Consider the following 20,612-nt stretch of genomic DNA (forward strand, 5'->3'; position numbering starts at 1 on the left):
ATTATACTAAAAAACTGGTCAATGTTCATCAAAAATTCAAATTTAACTGAGTGTCCTGTATTTCTATTTGCCAAATCTGACAACCCTAGCTTAGATATAACCTCAAAACTCTTTCTCAATCCTTTTACTGCGTTTCTCTGGCTCTAAAGCAGTAACTTTTTTGACTATATCAATAAAAAATTACTTAAAAAAAAATTTTTGGCTAGGCACGGTGGCTCATCCCTGTAATCCCAGCATTTCTGGACACCAAGGTGGGTGGATCATCTGAGCTCCAGAGTTCAAGACTAGCCTGAACAACATGGCAAAACCTCATCTCTTCAAAAAATACAAAAATTAGCCAGGCATGGTAGCGTGCTCCTGTACTCCCAGCTACTCAGGAGGCTGAGGTGGGAGGATCGCTTGAGCCCAGGAAACAGAGGTTGCAGTGAGCCGAGACTGCACCACTACATTCTAGCCTTGGTGACAGAGACCCTGTCTCAAAAAAAAAAAAAAAAAAAAAAAAAAAAAAAAAATTCATTGAACTGTTGCTGCTCGTGGCAGAGCAGGACTAGTCCATAGGCAATGTGCCCAGAGTTGGCCAAAAATTACATTTTGAATTACAATGCGGTATATATACATTAACTCAAACCAAAGCTTAAAACAATTCTTGGCAGCTGGGTGCAGTGGCTCACACCTGTAATCCCAGCACTTTGGGAGTCGAGGTGGGCAGATTACGAGGTCAAGAGATCAAGACTATCCTGGCCAACATGGTGAAACCCCATCTCTACTAAAAATACAAAAATTAGGCCGGGCACAGGGGTTCATGCCTGTATCCCCAGCACTTTGGGAGGCCGAGGCAAGTGGATCACCTGAGGTCAGGAGTTCAAGACCAGCCTGACCAACATGGAGAAACCCCATCTCTACTAAAACTAAATACAAAATTAGCCAGGCATGGTGGAGCATGTCTGTAATCCCAGCTACTCAGGAGGCTGAGGTAGGAGAATCACTTGAACCCGGGAGGCAGATCGGGCCATTGCACTCCAGCCTCGGCAACTAAGAGCGAAACTCCATCTCAAAAACAATTATTTCAATAATGCAATGCATCCTAACACTTCTTATTCTTTTTCATTTTTCTAAAAATGCTTGTCATAATCCACTAATGTGTTTCACAATCTACTAAGGGGTCATGATCTGCAGATTGAAAAATACTTCTTTGGGAGATATAAAAAATCATTTAACCTGGTGTTATGAGTCACCATTATGAGCACATTAACTAACTACACTGTGCTATAAAACAGTAATGCCCTTAGGGCCTAAGATATACAGCTATAAACTTACAGTCAAAACTCCCAGGCCGGGAGTGGTGGCTCACGCCTGTAATCCCGGCACTTTGGGAGGCCTAGGCAGGTGGATCATCTGAGGTCAGGAGTTCAAGACCGGCCTGGCCAATATGGCAAAACCCCATCTCTACTAAAAATACAAAAATTATCCGGGTGTGGTGGCGGGCACCCGTAATCCCAGCTACTCAGGAGTCAGAGGCAGGAAAATCGCTAGAAGCTGGGAGGCAGAGGTTGCAGTGGGCCAAGATTGTACCATTGCACTCCAGCCTGGGCAACAGAACAAGATTCTATGTCAAAAAAAAAAAGCCAGGTGCGGTGGCTCACGCCTGTGGTCCCGGCACTTTGGGAGGCTGAAGCAGGCGGATCACCTGAGGTCAGGAGTTCGAGACCAGCCTGGCCAAAATGGGGAAACCCCGTCTCTACTAAAAATACAAAAATTAACCCGGTGTGTGACCAATATCTGTACTCCCAGCTACTCAGGAGTCAGGCAGGAGAACTGCTTGAACCTGGGAGGCGGAACTACAGTGAGCAGAGATGGCGCCATTGCACTCCAGCCTGGGTGACAAGAGCAAAACTCCATCTCAAAAAAAAAAAAAAAAAAAAAAAAAAAAACCTCCCAGAATGGTATACTTGTTGAGCTCTTGTGTCTGTTTTTTAGTAGTTCCCATTTTAGTAGTTCCCAGGCTCTTTGCTTTGTTTTTTTGAGATAAGGTCTCATTTTAACGCCCAGGCTGGAGTGCAGTGGTGCAATCATGGCTCACCTCGACATCCAGACTTAAGTGAACCACCTGCCTCAGCCTCCCAAGTAGCTGAGACTACAGAAGTGCACGACCATGACTGGCTAAATTTTTTGTATTAATATTTTTTGTTGAGATGGGGTTTCCCTGTGTTGCCCAGGCTGGACTTGAACTCCTGGGCTCAGGTAATCTGCCTGCTTCAGCCTCCCAAAGTGTTGGGATTACAGGTGTGAGCCACCATGCCCAGCCACCAGTCTTCCAAACTTTTTTTTTTTTTTTGAGACAGAGTCTCACTCTGCTCTGTGGCCCAGGCTGGGGCACAGTGGCACAATCTGAGCTCACTGCAACCTTCACCTCCCGGGTTCAAGCGATTCTCCTGCCTCAGCCTCCCAAGTAGCTGGGATTACAGGCGCCCGCCCAGCCCCAAGTCTGGTTTTTTTTTTTTTTTTTTTTTTTTAGACGGAGTCTCCCTCTGTCGTCAGTGCAGTGGCCCGATCTCGGCTCACTGCAACCTCTGCCTCCCGGGTTCAAGCAATTCTCCTGCCTCAGCCTCCCGAGTAGCTGGGACTACAGGCACACATCACCACGCCCATTTAATTTTTTTGTATTTTTAGTAGAGATGGGGTTTCACCCTGTTGGCCAGAATGGTCTCAATCTCTTGACCTTGTAATCCGCCCTCCTCAACCTCCCAAAGTGCTGGGATTACAGGGGTGAGCCACCACGCCCGGCCCTTTTTCTGTTTTTCAGTAGAGACAGGGTTTCACCATGTTGGCCAGACTGGTCTCGAACTCCTGACCTCAAGTGATCCACCCTCCTTGGCCTCCCAAAGTGCTGGGATTACAAGCGTGAGCCACCGCACCCAGCTAAGTCTTTCAACTTTCTATCACGCTACTGTTATTTCTCATTGCTGTTAATATATCTGCCTCTGAAAACATTGCTTTTCTACTTGCTGCCAATATGTACATCAGAAAAGAAAGCTAGATAGAATCATGTGTAAAGTAAAAGTTCTCAAAGAGGCCATAAAGAACTCTCCAGACCAGAGGCTAAAGCAGGAGGACAGTTTAAGCCCAGAAGTTGGAGGCCAGCCTGGGCAACATAACAAGACCCCCATTTCTACCAAAAAAAAAAAAAAAAAAAAGAACTCCCCTTTCTAAAATCTGCTCAAGCTTCAGTGAAAAGACATTTAGTCTTCAATTCCTGATTTCGAAATGTGTTTCAGGAATGAAAATAGTTAACTGCACAAAGTCCACAGCAAATGTTTATAAACCCGAAAAGAAAAATGCAGTACTTGTTTCAAAACCCGCCCTTTATAAAAAACTAAAATTATAATCAAGATTAATTCCACTTAGAAAAATTATTAAGAATATTTTAACATGACTTTAAAAAGCAATATGAAAAACGTCAATGAAAAATATTTGACCTGGCCAGCCACGGTGCCTCACACATGTAATTAAAGCACTTTGGGAAAACTAGGTGGGTGGATCATTTGAATTTAAGAGTTTGAGACCAGCCTGGGCAACATGGCTAAACCCTGTCTCTACAAAATATACAAAAGCCAGGCATGGTGGCATACACCTGTAGTTCCAGCTACTCGGGAGACTGAGGTAGGAGGACTGCTTGAGCCCAGGATGTTGAGGCTGCAGTGAGCCATGACCATACCACTATACTCCAACCTGGCCAACAGGGTAAGACTCAGTCTCAAAAAAAAGGAAATTTAAAAAAAAACTGATCATTGGCAACACTGTTCAATAAAGCCTCTCAAGGCAATGGTTTCAGGAGACCAACATTCTAAAGTTCTGATACAGTTAATAAAAATAAACCACGTTCACTTATATTGCCGACAAGCCTCATACCACAACTAATGAGTTTTACAAAGACTTCATTATAGAATGAAATTTTATTACATTCCCAAAATGTAGTTAGCTATTAATCATGGCACGAAACTGACATTTTCGGGCTGGACACAGTGGCTCACACCTGTAACACCAGCATGTTAGGAGGCCTAAGTGGGGTGGATCACTCGAGGCCATGAGTTCAAGATCAACATGGCAAAACTCCACATCTACTGAAAATACAAAAAAACTAGGCAGGCACTGTGGGGCGCACCAGTAGTTCCAACTACTTGGGAGGCTGAGGTGGGAGGATGGCTTGAACCCGGGAGACAGAGGTTGCAGTGAGCCGTATTTGCAACACTGCACTCCAGCCTTAGCAACAGAGCCAGATCCTATCACAAAAATAAATAAATAAATAAATAAATAAATAAATAAAACAAATTGACATTGTAAAGTCACTTGACACAACTTCAGGGTTAAAATTACAAGCAATCTATGTAAGAATCTTTAAATGTTAATGAGAATTTCAAATTTTCACATGAATGCAAACACAAATAATTACCAGCAAATAAAAAGTTAAGGTTGCCAGGCATGGGAGGCCAAGGCAGGTGGATCACTTGAGGCCAGAAGTTCCAGACCAGCCTGGCCAATATGGTGAAACCCCATCTCTACTAAAATACAAAAATTAGCCAGGCGAGATGGTGCGTGCCTGCAGTCCCAGCTACTCAGGAGGCTGAGGCAGAAAAATCGCTTTAACCTGGGAGGCAGAGGTTGCAATGAGCCGAGATCGCACCACTGCACTCCAGCCTAGGTGACAGAGCGAGACTCCGTCTCGGAAAAAAAAGAAAAAAAAAAAGTTAAGGTTAACAGCTGTGACAAGTTTTCATAAACAACCCAGACTCATAAAAAAAATACCAAACCAGGCCGGACGCGGTGGCTCATGCCTATAATCCCAGCACTTTGGGAAGCCGAGGCGGGCAGATCAAGAGGTCGGGAGATTGAGACAATCCTGGCTAACACAGTGAAACCCCATCTCTACTTAAAATGCATAAAAAAAATTAGCCGGGCATGGTGGCGGGCGCATGTAGTCCCAGCTACTCGGGAGGCTGAGGCAGGAGAATGGCATGAACCTGGGAGGTGGAGCTTGCAGTGAGCTGAGATTGTGTCACCGCACTCTAGCCTGGGCGACAGAGCGAGATTTCTCAAAAAAAAAAAAAAAAAAAAAAAAAAAAAAAAACTAAACCAAACTGGTCACGGTGGCTCACACCTGTAATCCCAGCACTTTGGGAGGACGAGGCGGGTGGATCATCTAAGGTCAGGAGTTCGAGACCAGCCTGGCCAACATGATGAAACCCCATCTCTACTAAAAATACAAAAATTAGCCAGGCATGGTGGCACACAGCTGTTATCCCAGCTACTCAGGAGGCTGAGGCAGGACAATCACTTGAACCTAGGAGGCGGAGGTTGCAGTAAGCCGAGATCACATCACTGCATTCCAGCCTGGGTGACAGGGTAAGATCCTGCAACACACACACACAAACAATAATAATAATTTAAAAAACCAGCCAGGCATAGTGGCTCACACCTGTAATCCCAGCACCTTGGGAGGCCAAGGAGGGCAAATTGTTTGAGGTCAGGAATTCAAGGCCATCCTGGGCAACAGGTAAAATCTCTGTCCCTACAAAATAAAAACAAACAAAAAAGCTAGGCGCAGTGGCTTATGCCTGTAATTCCAGCACTTCAGGAGGCCAAGGTATATGGATCACCTGAGGTCGGGAGTTCGAGACCAGCCTGGCCAACATGATAAAACCCCATCTCTACCAATAATACAAAAATTAGCCAGGTGTAGTGGCGCATGCCTATAATCCCAGCTACTCGGGAGGCTGAGGCATGAGAATCATTTGAACGCAAGAGGCAGAGGTTGCACTGAGCCGATATCCTGCCACTGCACCCCACCCTAGGCAACAGAGTGAAACAAAAATTTTGCTGGGCATAGTGGCGCATGCCTGTGGTCCCAGCTACTCAGGAGGCTGAGATAGGAGGATCACTTGGGCCTGAGAACTCGAGGTTGCAATGAGCCATGATGGCACCACTGCACTCCCGCCTGGGTGACAGAGCTAGAACCTGTCTCAAAAAAATAAGGCGAGGCGCAGTGGCTCATGCTGTAATCCCAAAACTTTGGGAGGCCAAGACAGGCAGATCACCTAAGGTCAGGAGTTCAAGACGAGCCTGGCCAACATGGTGAAACCCCATCTCTACTAAAAAAAAATACAAAAATTTGCCAGGTGTAGTGGTGCATGCCTGTAATCCCAGCTACTCAGGAGGCTGAGGCAGGAGAATCACTGGAACCTGGGAAGTGGAGGTTACAGTGAGCCGAGATTATGCCACTGCTTTCCAGACTGGGTGACAGAGTGAGACTCTGTCTCAAAATAAATAAATAACCAAGGATTTAACATTTATGTAGATTTCACACCACGTAAGTACAGAACCACATACATTAAAAACAAAGAAAAGAAAATAGACCTCCTATTTTAGCAAGCCAAAATCAAGGTTACAAAAAGATATCCTGAAGGGCAAGTACTGTCCGTGACTGTATTCCATAAAACAAGCCTGTTAGGGGGCCGGACGCAGCAGCTCACGCCTGTAATTCCAGCACTTTGGGAGGCTGTTGGGCGGATCACAAGGTCAGGAGATCGACACCATCCTGGCCAACATGGTGAAACCCCGTCTCTACTAAAAATACAAAAATTAGCTGGGCATCACAGTGTGCGCCTGTAGTACCAACTACATGGGAGGCTAAGGCAGGAGAATCGCTTGAACCCGGGAGGCAGAGGTTGCAGTGAGCTGAGATCGTGCCACTGCACTCCAGCCTGGTGACAGAGCGAGACTCCATCTAATTAAAAAAAAAAAAACAGGCCTGTTAGGAACCAGACTGCACAACAGGAGCTGTGTGAGCATTAGCACCTGAGCCCCACCTGTTAGATCAGGTGCAGCATTAGGTTCTTATAGAAGCACAAACCCTACTGGGAACTGCATATAGCAAGAGATGTAGGTTGTATGCTCTTTATGAGAATCTAACAAATGCATAATGATCTGAGGTGGAACAATTTTTTTTTTTTTAGACGGAGTCTCACTTTGTCCCCCAGGCTGAAGTACAGTGGTGCTATCTCAGCTCACTGCAAGCTCTGCCTCCCGGGTTTCATGCCATTCTCTTGCCTCGGCCTCCGGAGTAGCTGTGACTACAGGCGCCCTCCACCGCGCCCAGCTAATTTTTTTGTATTTTTAGTAGAGGGGGGTTTCACCATGTTAGCCAGGATGGTCTCGATCTCCTGACCTCGTGATCTGCCCGCCTCGGCCTCCCAAAGTGCTGGGATTACAGGCGTGAGCCACCGTGCCCGGCCGGTGGAACAGTTTCATCTCAAAATCATCCCCTGCCCCTATGGAAAAACCATCTTCCACAAAACCGGTCCCTAGTGTTAAAAAGGTTGAGGACCATTGCCTTAAAATACACAGCATGATCTTGTGTATATATTACGTTTCTATTTATTTCAAGGGAGGGGCCCCAGAACTTAAAATTTAAAAATAAAAATAAAGGGAGGGGGCTCGGTGCAGTGGCTCACACCTGTAATCTCAGCACTTTGGGAAGCTGAGGCAGGAGGATCACTTGAGCCCAGGAGTTTGAGACCAATCTGGGCAACATGGCAGGACCCTGTCTCTACAAAAAATTTAAATGTTAGCCAGCTGGTGTACACCTGTAGTTCCAGCTACTCAGGAGGCTAAGACAGGAGAAATGCTTGGCCCCATAGATTGAGGCTGCACTCCAGCCTGGGTGACAGAGGGAGACCTTGACTCTAAAAAAATAAATAAAGGGAGAGGTGTAATAAAATCCTACAAATATTGCTTTGGGCAAGTCCCCTAATCTCTCAAAGCTTAGAGTTTTTGCCTTCCATTTTTAAGATTTAGGATTTTTTGTTGTTGTTGTTGTTGTTACTGTTTTTTAAGAGACAGGGTAGGCTGCGCACGGTGGCTCATGCCTATAATCCCAGCACTTTGGGAGGCCAAGGCAGGTGGATCGCTTAAGGTCAGGAGTTCGAGATGAGCCTAACCAACATGGTGAAACCCTGTCTCTGCTAAAAATACAAAAATTAGCTGAGTGGGGTAGCAGGCACCTGTAATCTCAGCTACTCAGAAGGCTGAGGCAGGAGAATCGCTTGAACCCGGGAAACAGAGGTTGCAGTGAGCTGAGATTGCACCACTGCACTCCAGCCTGGGAAAGAGCAAAACTGTCTCAAAAAAAAAAAAAACACCTTAGCTCATGAGGCTGGGCGGGGGTGGCTCACGCCTGTAATCCCAGCACTTTGGGAGGCCGAGGCAAGCGAATCACCTGAGGTCAGGAGTTCAAGAGCAGCCTGGCCAACATGGTGAAACTCCATATCTACTAAAAATGCAAAACTTAGCCAGGCATGGTGGCGGGTGCCTGTAATCCCAGCTATTCGGGAGGGCTAAGGCAGGAGAATTGCTTGAACCTGGGAGGCGGAGGTTGCAGTGAGCCAAGATCACGCCACTGCACTCCAGCCTGGGCGACAGAGACTCTGTCTCAAAAACAAACAAAAAAACCCTTAGATGGTAACAGTAACATCATAGATGACCCAGATATCCTTTGGAAAAAAACAAAAAAAACACAAGTACTTTCATTTAAAAAGATACGGCAGCGGCCAAGCACGGTGGCTCATGCCTGTAATCCCAGAACTTTGGGAGGCTGAGGCAGGTGGATCACCTGAGGTCAGGAGTTTGAGACCATTCTAGCCAACATGGTGAAACCCTGTCTCTACTAAAAATACAAAAATTAGCCAGGCGTGGTGGTGTGCGCATGTAGACCCAGCTACTCAGGAGGCTGAGGCAGGAGAATCACTTGAACCCGGGAGGCAAAGGTTGCAGTAAGCAGAGATCGTGCCACTGCACTCCAGCCTGGGCGACAGAGCAAGACTCCGTCTCAAAAAAAAAAAAAAAAAAAAAAGATAATAGGTGTGACTGTTAATAAACTGTTTACATCTCCGTTGAAGTTGTCACAATCACTTGAAATAGCTAAAAAAAAAAATAGGGTTTTGTTCATGCTCAACTATTTACACAACATCAAAATACTATCACTAGTCAAAACAGAAAATTGTAATTCTAGAGAACAATCTTCTAAAACCTTAAAATTCGTTTCAAAGTAAAAAAACAATACTTTGCTAAGGTGACAGTTCTAACACGGCTGTAGCTATTTAGGACAAAAAAATGAGATCCTCCTTTTTTTGTTTGTTTGTTTGTTTTGAGACAGAGTCTCGCTCTGTTGCCCAGGCTGGAGTGTAATGGCATGATCTCAGCTCACTGCAACCTCCGCACTCATTGCAACCTCCGGGATCAAGCAATTCTCTTCCCTCAGCCTCCCAAGAAGCTGGGATTACAGGCGCCCACCACCATGCCCGGCTAATTTTTGTATTTTTAGTAGAGATGGGGGTTTCACCATGTTGGCCAGACTAGTCTCAAACTCCTGACCCCAGGTGATCCACCCGCCTCAGCCTCCTAAAGTGCTGGGATTACAGGTATGAGCCACCGCGCCTGGCCTTGAGATCCTCCTTTAAGTCAAAATATATGGCTATTAAATAGCTACAATATGAGTTAACATCCCTTATGTAGAAGTATAAACCATTGCTAATTAGAGTAACACTGAAAATACAAGTTTACATTTAACCAAAAAAAGGAACACCATGACTGATCCCATGTTTTCACTGTTTCAGAATGTGGAATCTTTAAGCAACTACAGGCTTACATTTTTCTCTTAAAAAAAAAAAAAGAAAAAGAAAAAGAAAACCAAAGCAAGTTTTGGCCCAAACTTAAAAAGTTTATTTTCTCCACATACTTGAAACAAAAACTAAACTAATTAGGTAAAATACGTAAGCCCAAAAGAAAAACAAAACATGTCTCTTTGGTTAGTAATAGCCATCTACAATTTACCTCTAATGACCCTCAATGTCAATTAACTTTTTTGGTCTAACTTCAGAGATGGTTAGTATCAATGTGCACATAAAAGAATAACAAAGGATGATGCCATTTAAACCTTATAAATTACTAATGAAGCCACATGACTAATTAACCTAGATAAAAAGCAAACGGCTAAATACCCAACCTTCAAATCTTTGCTCAAATGTTAGCTCCTCAATTAAGTTCCCCCAATCCATTTAAAATTGTAACTCATTCCCCTCCCCACACTCCCTATACCTTTAATCTGCTTTCTTCTAATTCCATAGCTCTTATACACTATTATACATAGGCTGGTAATTTAATGTCTCATTGTCTGCCTAGTCACATTAGAATGTAAACTCCAAAAGGACAATATGTTTGCTTTATTCACTGATTCATCCCAAAAACCCCATGTACATAGATGCTTCAATAAAGCTGTATTCAACGTAGATATTTTAGGCCCTTCTACAAGATATTTAACTGCAAAAGATGAACAGTCTCACTGAAATTTAAATGGAAGCATGATGAACAACTACATTAAATCACAGCACATTTTTTTTTTTTTTGAGATAGAGTCTCACTCTGTCTCCCAGGCTGGAGTGCAGTGGCACAATCTCAGCTGACTGCAACCTCCGCCTCCTGGGCTCAAGTGATGCTCCTGCCTCAGCCTCCCAAGTAGCTGGGATTACAGGCGCCTGGCTAAACAGCACAATTTTTAAGTTGCAATGCCTCAAGAGAAAGAAGCAGTAAAAATACTAAGCTGAAAATCACTAAAAGAAAAATATTTTATTCAGACTGAATCCTGTATCCCAAGCAATTCTAATGTCATATTATTTAGGTTTAGGAATAGAGTAACAATTGTAAATCCATATTTTTATTTTTAATGGGGAAGGGAATGTAGAAGAAGAAGAGTCAACCAGCGAAAATTCCCAATAGTGCCATGAAATTACAAAAAAGTTACCAAAAATAACTTGGTCATAGGCTAGCAGCTAATAAAAAACACTTTCAGATGAAAAAGAAAGGTTAACAACAACAACAAAGCTTTAGAACAGTTCCTCAGGAATTTCATTCCTGCACTTTACTCAGTACTATCAGCACGACAGATAAACCAAGTACCCTCATTAATAATAATGGTTACAGGTTTCAAAACATCTTCACATATATTACCTTATTAAATCCTCAGAGGAACCAAATTAAACTCAAATATCAATAATCCAGTAACTAACAAAAGCACTTAATAATATATGCACTTGACAGTAAAAATGCAATTTTTCCTTTAAAAATTCCCCACAATATTTGACAAACTACAAAGAAACCATTCCATGGAAGAGCAACCTTCTTGACACTGGAAGTAATACAAGTCTTCTAAAGAATAATAGAGCACCGCTAGCAAGAGCCATAAAAATCCTGAAGCCCTCTGAACTAGTAAAACCACTCTTGGTAACTTTCTCTAAGGAAATAATTACACTGAAGCAAAAAGCTATTTAAAAATGTTCACTGCACCACTATCTATAACAAAAAAGTGGAAACCCAATTCCCAACAATAGAATGGTTAAGTAAAAACCTTACAGCCGGGCGCAGTGGCTCACGCCTGCAATCCCAGCACTTTGGGAGGCCGAGGCGGGCGCATCACCTGAGGTCGGTAGTACGAGACCAAACTGGCCAACATGGTGAAACCTTGTCTCTACCAAAAATACAAAAATTAGCCAAGCGTGGTGGAACATTCCTGTAGCCCCAGCTACTCAAGAGGCTGAGGTGGGAGAATCGCTTGAACCCAGGAGTCAGAGGCTGCAGTGAGCTGAGATCGTACCACTGCACTTCAGACTGGGCAAACACCGAGACTCTGTCTCAAAAAAAAAAAAAAAAATTTACATTTACAATACAACGTTCAGGGGAAAAAAGCTAACTACAAAATAACATACACAATCACCTCTACTACATAAAAATGAAAAGGTAAAAAGCAAAAATAAGAATTAGACTGATGGTTGGGGGCAGTGGCTCATTCCTGCCTGTAATCCTGGCACTTTGGGAGGCCGAGGCTGGCGAATCACTTGAGGTCAGGAGGAGTTCGAGACCAGCCTGGCCAACATGGTGAAACCCCATCTCTACTAAAAATACAAAAATTGGCCAGGGGCAGTAGCTCACGCCTGTAATCCCAGCACTTTGGGAGGCCAAGGCAGGCGGATCACTTGAGGTCAGGAGTTCGAGACCAGCCTGGCCAACATGGCAAAATCCCGTCCTCACTAAAAATACAAAAAAATTAGCCAGGTGTGGTAGCACGAACCTGTAATCCCAGCTACTGGGGAGGCTGAGGCTGGAGAATCACTTAAATGAACCCAGGAGACAGAGACTGCAGTAAGCTGAGATCAGGCCACTGCACTCCAGCCTGGGCGACAGAGTGAGATTCCATCCAAAACACACACACACACACACACACACACACACACACACACACAAAATTAGATTACAGTAAAATTATGTTCTAATATTGTGATTACATTATCTTTCCTAAAACAGCCACCTTCAAAAATATATATAACAAAGAACAAAATAAATCACTTCTGAAAGTCATGAAAAACTATTCACACACACACACACAAAGTCAAATTATGAAATGTTTCTTAAAGCAGATGTGAATTTCCAGACTTTCAAGCATATTTTGCTATCTCGAAACTTGTCAAACCGAATGCTGCATTTTTTTTCACCCTTGCTCTCAGAGACTTATTTTCACTGTTGATACGCACAAACCTAAGTGAGGAGATTCTAGAAGCTGAAACTTATTTACAAGGAATGCAGGAAAGTGATTCAAATTCAAAGTAATTCTACAAGTACATTAACGATCTGTTCAAGAATAAAACTTCACATTACACAAATCCAACACAGTAAACAAAATTTCACCTATTCATCAGAAAGAATAAGGGCTGCCATTTAGGTCTCAAGTAAAAGAACTTAAAGCAAGGAAAAATCTAAATTAACCTTAAATTGTTGTAAAGCCTCAAGGAACAGAAAAAAGACCTTGTGGTACTAAAACATTCCAAATATCTTTGATCACTCAAACTACTCAGGAGCAAATTCTCTTATAATCTAATTTTTAAGCCTAGTAGTCAATGCAACTTAATAACCTTAGTTTTAATGTTTATATATTTGAACATGTTGAATTATCTGCCAAATCTCTTCCTAATACCTAAGAAAGTAAAAACAGAATACATCCTTTTCTATAAAAGTTGTATTTTAAATTTTTTCATTTTTCGCTAGATGCCAACGAAAAAGGGAAACTGAAGTTACCCTACTTGGGGAAACGATCACTTCATCTGAACTAGTTTGGCTAAGTAGTGTTTGGGATGCTTCAGACTCAGAGAAGGGGAAGGGGGGGCGGGGCGTGTAAAGTCAAATAACCGACTGTTTCCGCCCCCTTTGAAGGCAGCAGAATTCCTTAAAAACCAGCTGATTCCTCTTGATGGGGAATTTCTGCTGTAAATAAAAATTCTTTGGAAATGGGTTGCTGAAAATGTGTTTTCAAAAAGAAAACTCGGGTGAATGAAAAATCCTCTTATTCCACCTTCCAAAGCCCAAGATGCCTATTTAAGGAGGACGCCGGTCACCCGCCGTCAAGCCGGCGGCCTAGGCCTAAAGAAGGCACAGTAGTGCCTACAACACGGATGGACTTGAGGCACAAGGGAAATGGACTTGCGTGCCCTTGGTAAGCTCTGGCGGCACTCCCGAAGTTAAGGACACCGGCCACAATGGAATGGAGTCTATTGACGTTTCCTTCTCCCTTTGAACACTAAGCATTTTCTTAGTTCGTGAAATACGAACTGACAACCGCCCGCCACCCCCAACAGGCCCTCCTGCACAAACACACCCTCGAGTCAAACCCAGTTAGCCGGGACAACACTGAGCCCCCAGCCCCTACTACAACCCCGGCTTAGGAGGGAAAAAGACGCTAGTAAACACCCGCCTTTCTGCCTTCAGGAACCCGACCACGTCCCCTGCTGCAATCTCTCTCTCCTAGCATTTCCGAAATTGGGGCGGGGGTTGGGATAAGTGCGCAGGGTGCCCGCCCCCTGCCACCAGCACCGCCACCCCGGATCTCCAGGGTCCAGCCTGGGTCCAGCCCTCACCCACCGATGTTCCACAGGCGCCTTCTCCACTGCGGCCTCGAACAGCAATGCGGATCGGCCACCACCCGCGCGCCGGAGAGGTCTGGCGGGGGAAGGAGGAAGGCCGGGACGGGGCCGGGCACTCCCCACCCCTTCCCTTCCCCAGGTGGGGGAGGGTGGAACGCTGCCGGAGGCCACATGGAGCCCCACGATTTCAGGGGAGTTCGGGAGCCCCCGCCGCCGCCTCGGACACGAACGCAGAGGGGTGCGGGGGCCAAGGCCCACTTGTCTCCACCCCGTCCTCCGATCTTTCCCAGGACTCGGAGGGGGCGGGGAGAGAGCCCCGACAGACCCTGATGATTCCGGAGGAGCCCGGTGCCTACCCCTTTAACCGGCACGGGGGACGCGGCCCTAACTTCTCCCCTCCAGAGATGTCCCCCATGGAGGGGGACATGTTCCGGAAAACGCCACCACAGCCTCCAGACCCCTCCAACGTTCACACCTAAACCGGGAGTGGAGGAGCTGCCCGAGCATCCCCACGCTGCGGGCGGAGGATCGTGCGGAAGGGGGAGCCGGGGCTGACCATCGCCGCTACCCGAGAACCCCTCCCAACACGCGTGGGGAGGGGAGGCCGCCCGCTCCCTCCATCTTGACCGCCGGGGGAGGGGGCGGGGATGCTGCGGGAGGCTGGACAGGCCTGACAATCCCAGAGGACCCCGGCTGCGCCCACCGGCCGAGCCTCGGGGCTCAGGCCCGAGCGAGTCTCCCCCGCGCTGCCGGCCCCCAGCCCACCCCGGGTAGCCCGGCGGGTCACGGGGCGGGGACGGCGGCGCGGGCCGCGGGGGAGGGGACGCCGGGCCCGGAGCGGAGGGGGCTGGGGTGCCGACACCCACCTGCCCAGGCCGGGCCTCCCGCCGCCGGAGGTCGCCGCGACCACCGAGGAGGGAGCCGTGGCCGAGGACGAGGAGACCGAGGACGAGGACGGCGAAGGCGCGGCGGCGGGCGACGCTAGAAGGCCGCTGCCGCCGGGCTTGCGGACATTGGCAGCCGCGGGCGGCGGCTGCTGCTGCTGCTGCTGCTGCTGCTGTTGCTGCTGCTGCTGCTGCTGCTGCTGCTGCTGCTGCTGCTGGGGCTTCAGCGACATGGTGAGGGGCCCATACACCGGCTCGCACGCCGGGCGGGGACAGCCGGGAGCCGGGCGCGCCAAGGAGACGCCGGAACGCGGCGGGGACGCGCGGGCGCCGAGCGGGGAGGCGCGGGTTGGCGCGGCCGGAGGGGCGCCCGGGCTGGCGAGGGGGAGAAGGAGGACGACGAAGGGGCGGGGAGGCCCGCCGAGACCAAGGAGCCGCCGGGAGCCGGGCCGAAACGCGCCGCCGCCGTTGCCGTTGCTACCAAAACAGTCTGAGGCGGAGGGAGGCGAGCTCTGCCGGGAGGGAGGGGGGCCGGGGCCGGGCGGGGGAGGGGCGGCGGAGGGATACGGTCCCGGGGCCGCGCCACCGCCGCCCCGCCCGCTCCGCCGCGCCGGCCGCTGGAGCGAGCGCCACCCGGGCCACCTGGCTGCGGCGAAGCGGCGAGACTCGGTGGCCACCGCGGGACTCCGAGGAGCTGCGGCCGCTGAGCGCATCGGAGGGCGGGCGCGCCGAGGCGCCGGGTGGGAGCGGAGGTGCGGATAGGGACTCTTTACCGGAAGTCGGAGGGGTCAGACGGAAGCAGAACGTGAGGTGGCCCCGGGGCCGGGAGGGACACGTGAGGAGCGGGCGGCGCGCTGGGTTGCTTTCTCGGGGGTCGGGTGAGGGCCAGGCGGCGGTCCCTACCCGGATCCGCCTTCCTCAAGGCGGGTCTGCCCTTCGGGGAGGGCGTGTCGGTCTCAGCCTCTGGGGCCTGCCTGGTGTGGAGGACAGGAGAGAAGCATTTCTTCTCCTACTGTATTCCTTCAGCATCTTCACTTCTGCGGGGACCTAGTTTGCCCCCACCTGATGCAACCCAGAAAATGGACTGACTGCGAGTGCCTTGGGGCGGAGAATGTGTCTTGCTACGTGTAAAGCACCTAGAACCCTGCCAGATTCAGGGGACACAGCATCCTGCCGTTTTCCTGCCGTCCCCCGCCCGCCACACAGTAGGCGCTCCAGTGGCTCGGGGCATCTACCAGGCAGGCCGCGCTGTCCTGCCCTGCCGGGGCTGGAGTGGAGCAACCCTCCGGGGCCACCCACATCTGGGTACCTTTTCCCCACTTTTTCCACCCCAGCCGCGCACAGTCACCAGAAAACTCTTTTAGGTATCTGACCTTCATTTGAACCTATGTTCCCTCACTTGAACTTCTTTTTCCTCATTCATGAGATTCTAAAGGAAATATATGGGATTGGGACTGGTAGAACTACGGATAATGGGATCTCCCTCGGTAGAGACAGAGCCGACCTCAAAACAATGTGCGAACTTTAGACCTTGGACCCTTTAGAAGTTTTAATTTAACTTACCCAGCCAGCACAGTAGACTCTTTTTAAAATGTGTTGCAGTTAAACTGGAAGCAAGTAGAAAGTAGGTAACTTTTTTTTTTTTTTTTGAGCAGTGAATCTATTGTTTTTTAAAGTGAAATGACTTCAGGAAATAATAGGGGAAGAAACACCAAAATTCCCCTCAATGTCCTAGAACTGTCCAGATAAAGGTAAAGACTTAGATAAACGTGGAGAATGATTGAACCAGCAGTTTTCAGTAGTCCAACTGAAATTAACCTCCTAGATAGTCCAGGCAAAAATGATCATTGTATTCTGCCAATGTAGGAAATCAGTTTTATTTCCCATCTAAGGTAAAAAGTAGATCAAGGGACCATTGCAAAACCCTTTAAAAATTAACCTAGCCTAGCCAACATGGTGAAACCCCGTCTCTACCAAAAATATAAAAATTAGCCGGGTGTGGTGGTGGGCGCCTGTAATCCCAGCTACTCGGGAGGCTGATACAGGAGAATTGCTTGAATCCGGGAGGTGGAGGTTGCAGTCAGCCGAGATCATGCACTCCAGCCTGGGCGACAGAGCGAGACTCCGTCTCAAAAAATAAATAAATAAATAAATAAATAAAGTAACCTAAAGGAAACTGGAACTAAAAAACCAGTTGAAACAAAAAAATACCTGTACCCGGCTGTGGTACAGGCCAGGGCTGCTGTGAGGGGAAGCTCCTGGAGAGGGTGACATGGGGCAGGGACCCAAATGAGCATGGGCATGAGGATCCTGGGGAGAAACGCTCCAGGTGGAGGGCACAGCGAGGGCAAAGGCTCTGAGGGGGGAGTCTGAGGAACAGCAAGGAGGCCTGCAATGGAGCAGGTCGTCAATGGTGTCCCGTTATATTCTTTCTTTAATAGAAATACAAACACTTGGCCTGGCGCGGTGGCTCACACCTGTAATCCCAGCACTCTGGGAGGCCGAGGCGGATGGATCACCTGAGGTCAGGAGTTCAAGACCAGCGTGGCCAACATGGTGAAACCCCATCGCTACTAAAAATACGAAAAAATTAGCTGGGCGTGGTGGTGGGCATCTGTGATCTCAGCTACGCAGGATGCTGAGGCAGGAGAATCGCTTGAACCCAGGAGGCGGAGGTTACAGTGACCAAAGAGGGCACCACTGCACTCCAGCCTGGGCAACAAGAGCGAAACTTTATCTAAAAAAAATAAAAATAAAAAAATACAATCACTTTTCTCTGATTGGAATCAAGGTCCCAGAATACAATCTTAAGAACAAGTTTTGGCCAGTGTGGTGGCTCACGCCTGTAATCCCAGCACTTTGGGAGGCAGTGGCCGGTGGATCACCTGAGGTCAGGAGTTCGAGACCAGCCTGGCCAATTTTTAGTAGAGCCCATCTCTACTAAAAATACAAAAATTAGCTGGGTGTGGTGATGCGCACCTGTAGTCCCAGCTACTTGGGAGGCTGAGGCAGGAGAATGGTGTGAACCTGGGAGGCGGTGCTTGCAGTGAGCGGAGATCACACCACTGCACTCCAGCCTGGGCGACAGAGCGAGACTCCGTCTCAAAAAAAAAATAGTAAGTTTCAGGTCGATGGAAGTTGAATAAGAAGGCCTAGGCTGGATACAGTGGCCTACACCTATAATCCCAGCACTTTGGAAGGCCAAGGCAGGCAGATCCTTTGAACCAAGGAGTAGGAGACCAGCCTGGGCAACATAGTGAGACCCTCCTCTCCATAAAAAATTTTTCAAAATTAAAAAAAAAGAAGGCCTGAAGCTGACATAGCTGAGAAAGTTTGTTTTAACTCACTACCATTGAATAAAAACTTAATAGTTTTATCAAGATATAATTTACATACTATGAAATTCACCTATTTTGTGTACAATTTAATGATTCTCAGTAAATTTACACAGTAAATTTGCACAACCATTGCCACTAATTTCAGAACATTTCCATTACCCCAAAAAGATCCTTCACGATGGTGGGCAGTTTGGTTCCCATCCTTAGCCCCAGGCAACCACTCATCTACATTTTCTCTCTATGGATTTGTCCAGATTTTTCACATAAGTAGAATCTTACAGCATGCAGCCTTTTGTGTCTGCCTTCTTTCATTTGTCATAATGTTTTTGAGGTTTATCTAAGGTTGTGGCATGTAGCAGTATTTCATTCCTTATTATTGCTATGTCATATTCCATGTATGGACATACCACATTTTGTGTCTACTTTCCAATTGTGGATGTTTAGATTGTGTCAACTTTTTGAGTATTATGAAAATGCTGCTGGGGCTGAGATTGGTGGCTCACTCCTGTAATCCCAACACTTTAGGATACCGAGATGGGAGGATCACTTGAATACCCCGGAGTTTGAAACCAGCCTGGGCAACATAGAGAGACCCTGTCTCTATGAAAAACTTTAAAAATAAAAAATTAGCTGGTTGGCTGGGCGTGGTGGCTCATGCCTATAATCCCAGCACTTTGGGAGGCCGAGGTGGGTGGATCACCTGAGATCAGGAGTTCGAGACCAGCCTGGCCTACATGGTGAAATCCCGTCTCTACTAAAAATACAAAAAATTAGCCAGGCGTGGTGGCGGGCACCTGTAATCTCAGCTACTTGGGAGGCTGAGGCAGGAGAATTGCTTGAACCCAGGAGGCGGAGGTTACAGTGAGCCGAGATTGCACCATTGCACTGAAGCCTGGGTGACACAGCAATACTCTGTCTCCAAAAAAAAAAAAAAAAAAAAATTAGCTGGTCATGGTGACACGCACCTATAGTCCCAGCTACTAGGGAGGCTGAAGCAGAAGGACCGCTTGAGCCCAGGAGATCGAGGTTGCTGTGAGCTACGAATGCGCCACTGCACTCTAGCCTGGGCAACAGACCAAGACCCTGTCTCGTTCAGTTAATAGAGTTGCTAAAACACACACACACACACACAAAGAAGAAGAAAGAAAAATAATAATGCTGCTATGAACATTTGTGAACATATATCTTCATGTGGATATATGTTTTCATTTATCTTGGGTTGGTTCCTACAAACGAAATTGTTGGGTGATGTGGTAAGTTTATTTAGTTATTTTTATTTTATTTATTTATTTATGGAAACTACCTTTTCTCTGGACTTCAGAAGGCTTAAGCTTTATATGAAAATATCAGAGTAGGCTGGGCACGGTGGCTCATGCCTGTAATCCCAGCACTTTGGGAGACTGAGGTGGGCTGATCACCTGAGGTCAAGAGATCGAGACCATCCTTGCCAACATGGTGAAACCCTGTCTCTATTAAAAATACAAAAATTAGCCAGGCATGGTGGCTCACACCTGTAATCCCAGCACTTTGGGAGGCCAAGGCGGGCAGATCACGAGGTCAGGAGATCAAGGCCATCCTGGCTAACACAGTGAAACCCCGTCTCTACTAAAAATACAAAAAAATAGGTGGGTGTGGTGGCGGGCGCCTGTAGTCCCAGCTACTTGGGAGGCTGAGGCAGGAGAATGGCATGAACTCGGGAGGCGGAGCTTGCAGTGAGGTGAGATGGCGCCACTGCACTCCAGCCTGGGCAACAGAGCGAGACTCTGTCTCAAAAAAAAGAAAATACAAAAATTAGCTGGGCATGGTGGTGTGCGCCTGTAGTCCTAACTACTCGGGAGGCTGAGGCAGGAGAATCGCTTGAACCTGGCAGGCAGAGGTTGCAGTGAGTCAAGATCATGCCACTGCACTCCAGCCTGGTGACAGAGTGACACTCCATCTCAAAAAAATAATATATATATATATATATATTAGAGTAATGCACCTTAAAAGAAGTGGTGTGTCAGGCAGCCTCTATGGCGGTCCCAAATGATTCTTGCCTCCTGGTGTTCAGACACTGTGAAATCCTCCCCACCTGAATTTTAAAACAATACTTTTTTTTTTTTTTTTCGAGACAGGGTCTTACTCTGCCAACCAGGCTGGAGTACAGTTCCACAGTCTGGCTCACTGCAGCGTCTGCCTCCCAGGCGGTCCCGAGCAATCCTCCCATCTCAGCCTTCAGAGTATCAGGGACTACAGGCGTGCACCACCACACCCAGCTAATTTTTGTTAGTTTTGGGGGATTTGTTTGTTTGTTTTTAGGCAGAGTCTTGCTGTCTTGCCCAGGCTGGAATGCAGTGGCACAATCTCAGTTCACTGTAACCTCCACCTCCTGG

At 47.4% G+C, this 20,612-nt stretch overlaps 1 protein-coding gene and 1 long non-coding RNA gene across 6 annotated transcripts in view, besides 6 other annotated features; one reads left to right on the forward strand and one right to left on the reverse strand.

The window, feature by feature from the left end:
• ATXN2 (ataxin 2) overlaps positions 1–15,774 on the reverse strand; it is a 147,460-nt gene extending 131,686 nt beyond the window's left edge. For 3 of the 5 annotated variants that reach the window (NR_132311.2, NM_002973.4, NM_001372574.1), the window contains exon 1: positions 14,885–15,416. Coding sequence is in view for 2 of the 5 variants with exons in the window: in NM_002973.4 (NP_002964.4) it covers positions 14,885–15,135 (251 nt within the window). In the remaining 3 variants the exon portion in view is untranslated. Of the gene's footprint in view, positions 1–14,884; positions 15,417–15,675 lie in introns of those variants that run through there. The other 2 variants (NM_001310123.1, NM_001310121.1) reach the window with 1 other exon arrangement.
• Positions 8,172–8,346: a silencer, noted in NCBI's record as "fragment chr12:112029875-112030049 (GRCh37/hg19 assembly coordinates)". NCBI's record gives its function as "represses an EF-1alpha promoter that drives an FKBP-Casp9 reporter gene in an ReSE screen in K562 erythroleukemia cells {active_cell/tissue: K562}" and the evidence as "EXISTENCE:reporter gene assay evidence [ECO:0000049][PMID:32094911]".
• Positions 14,061–14,190: a silencer, noted in NCBI's record as "silent region_4870". NCBI's record gives its function as "represses an Ori minimal core promoter by ATAC-STARR-seq in GM12878 lymphoblastoid cells {active_cell/tissue: GM12878}" and the evidence as "EXISTENCE:reporter gene assay evidence [ECO:0000049][PMID:35858748]".
• Positions 14,781–14,830: a silencer, noted in NCBI's record as "silent region_4871". NCBI's record gives its function as "represses an Ori minimal core promoter by ATAC-STARR-seq in GM12878 lymphoblastoid cells {active_cell/tissue: GM12878}" and the evidence as "EXISTENCE:reporter gene assay evidence [ECO:0000049][PMID:35858748]".
• Positions 14,921–15,090: a silencer, noted in NCBI's record as "silent region_4872". NCBI's record gives its function as "represses an Ori minimal core promoter by ATAC-STARR-seq in GM12878 lymphoblastoid cells {active_cell/tissue: GM12878}" and the evidence as "EXISTENCE:reporter gene assay evidence [ECO:0000049][PMID:35858748]".
• Positions 15,151–15,460: a silencer, noted in NCBI's record as "silent region_4873". NCBI's record gives its function as "represses an Ori minimal core promoter by ATAC-STARR-seq in GM12878 lymphoblastoid cells {active_cell/tissue: GM12878}" and the evidence as "EXISTENCE:reporter gene assay evidence [ECO:0000049][PMID:35858748]".
• ATXN2-AS (ATXN2 antisense RNA) lies at positions 15,599–16,356 on the forward strand. The gene is made up of 2 exons (NR_146497.1): positions 15,599–15,654; positions 15,929–16,356. It is a non-coding gene; the product is annotated as an ATXN2 antisense RNA (long non-coding RNA).
• Positions 15,921–16,150: an enhancer, noted in NCBI's record as "active region_7038". NCBI's record gives its function as "activates an Ori minimal core promoter by ATAC-STARR-seq in GM12878 lymphoblastoid cells {active_cell/tissue: GM12878}" and the evidence as "EXISTENCE:reporter gene assay evidence [ECO:0000049][PMID:35858748]".

Source organism: Homo sapiens, chromosome 12 (assembly GCF_000001405.40).
Source record: "Homo sapiens chromosome 12, GRCh38.p14 Primary Assembly".
NCBI lineage: Eukaryota > Metazoa > Chordata > Mammalia > Primates > Hominidae > Homo > Homo sapiens.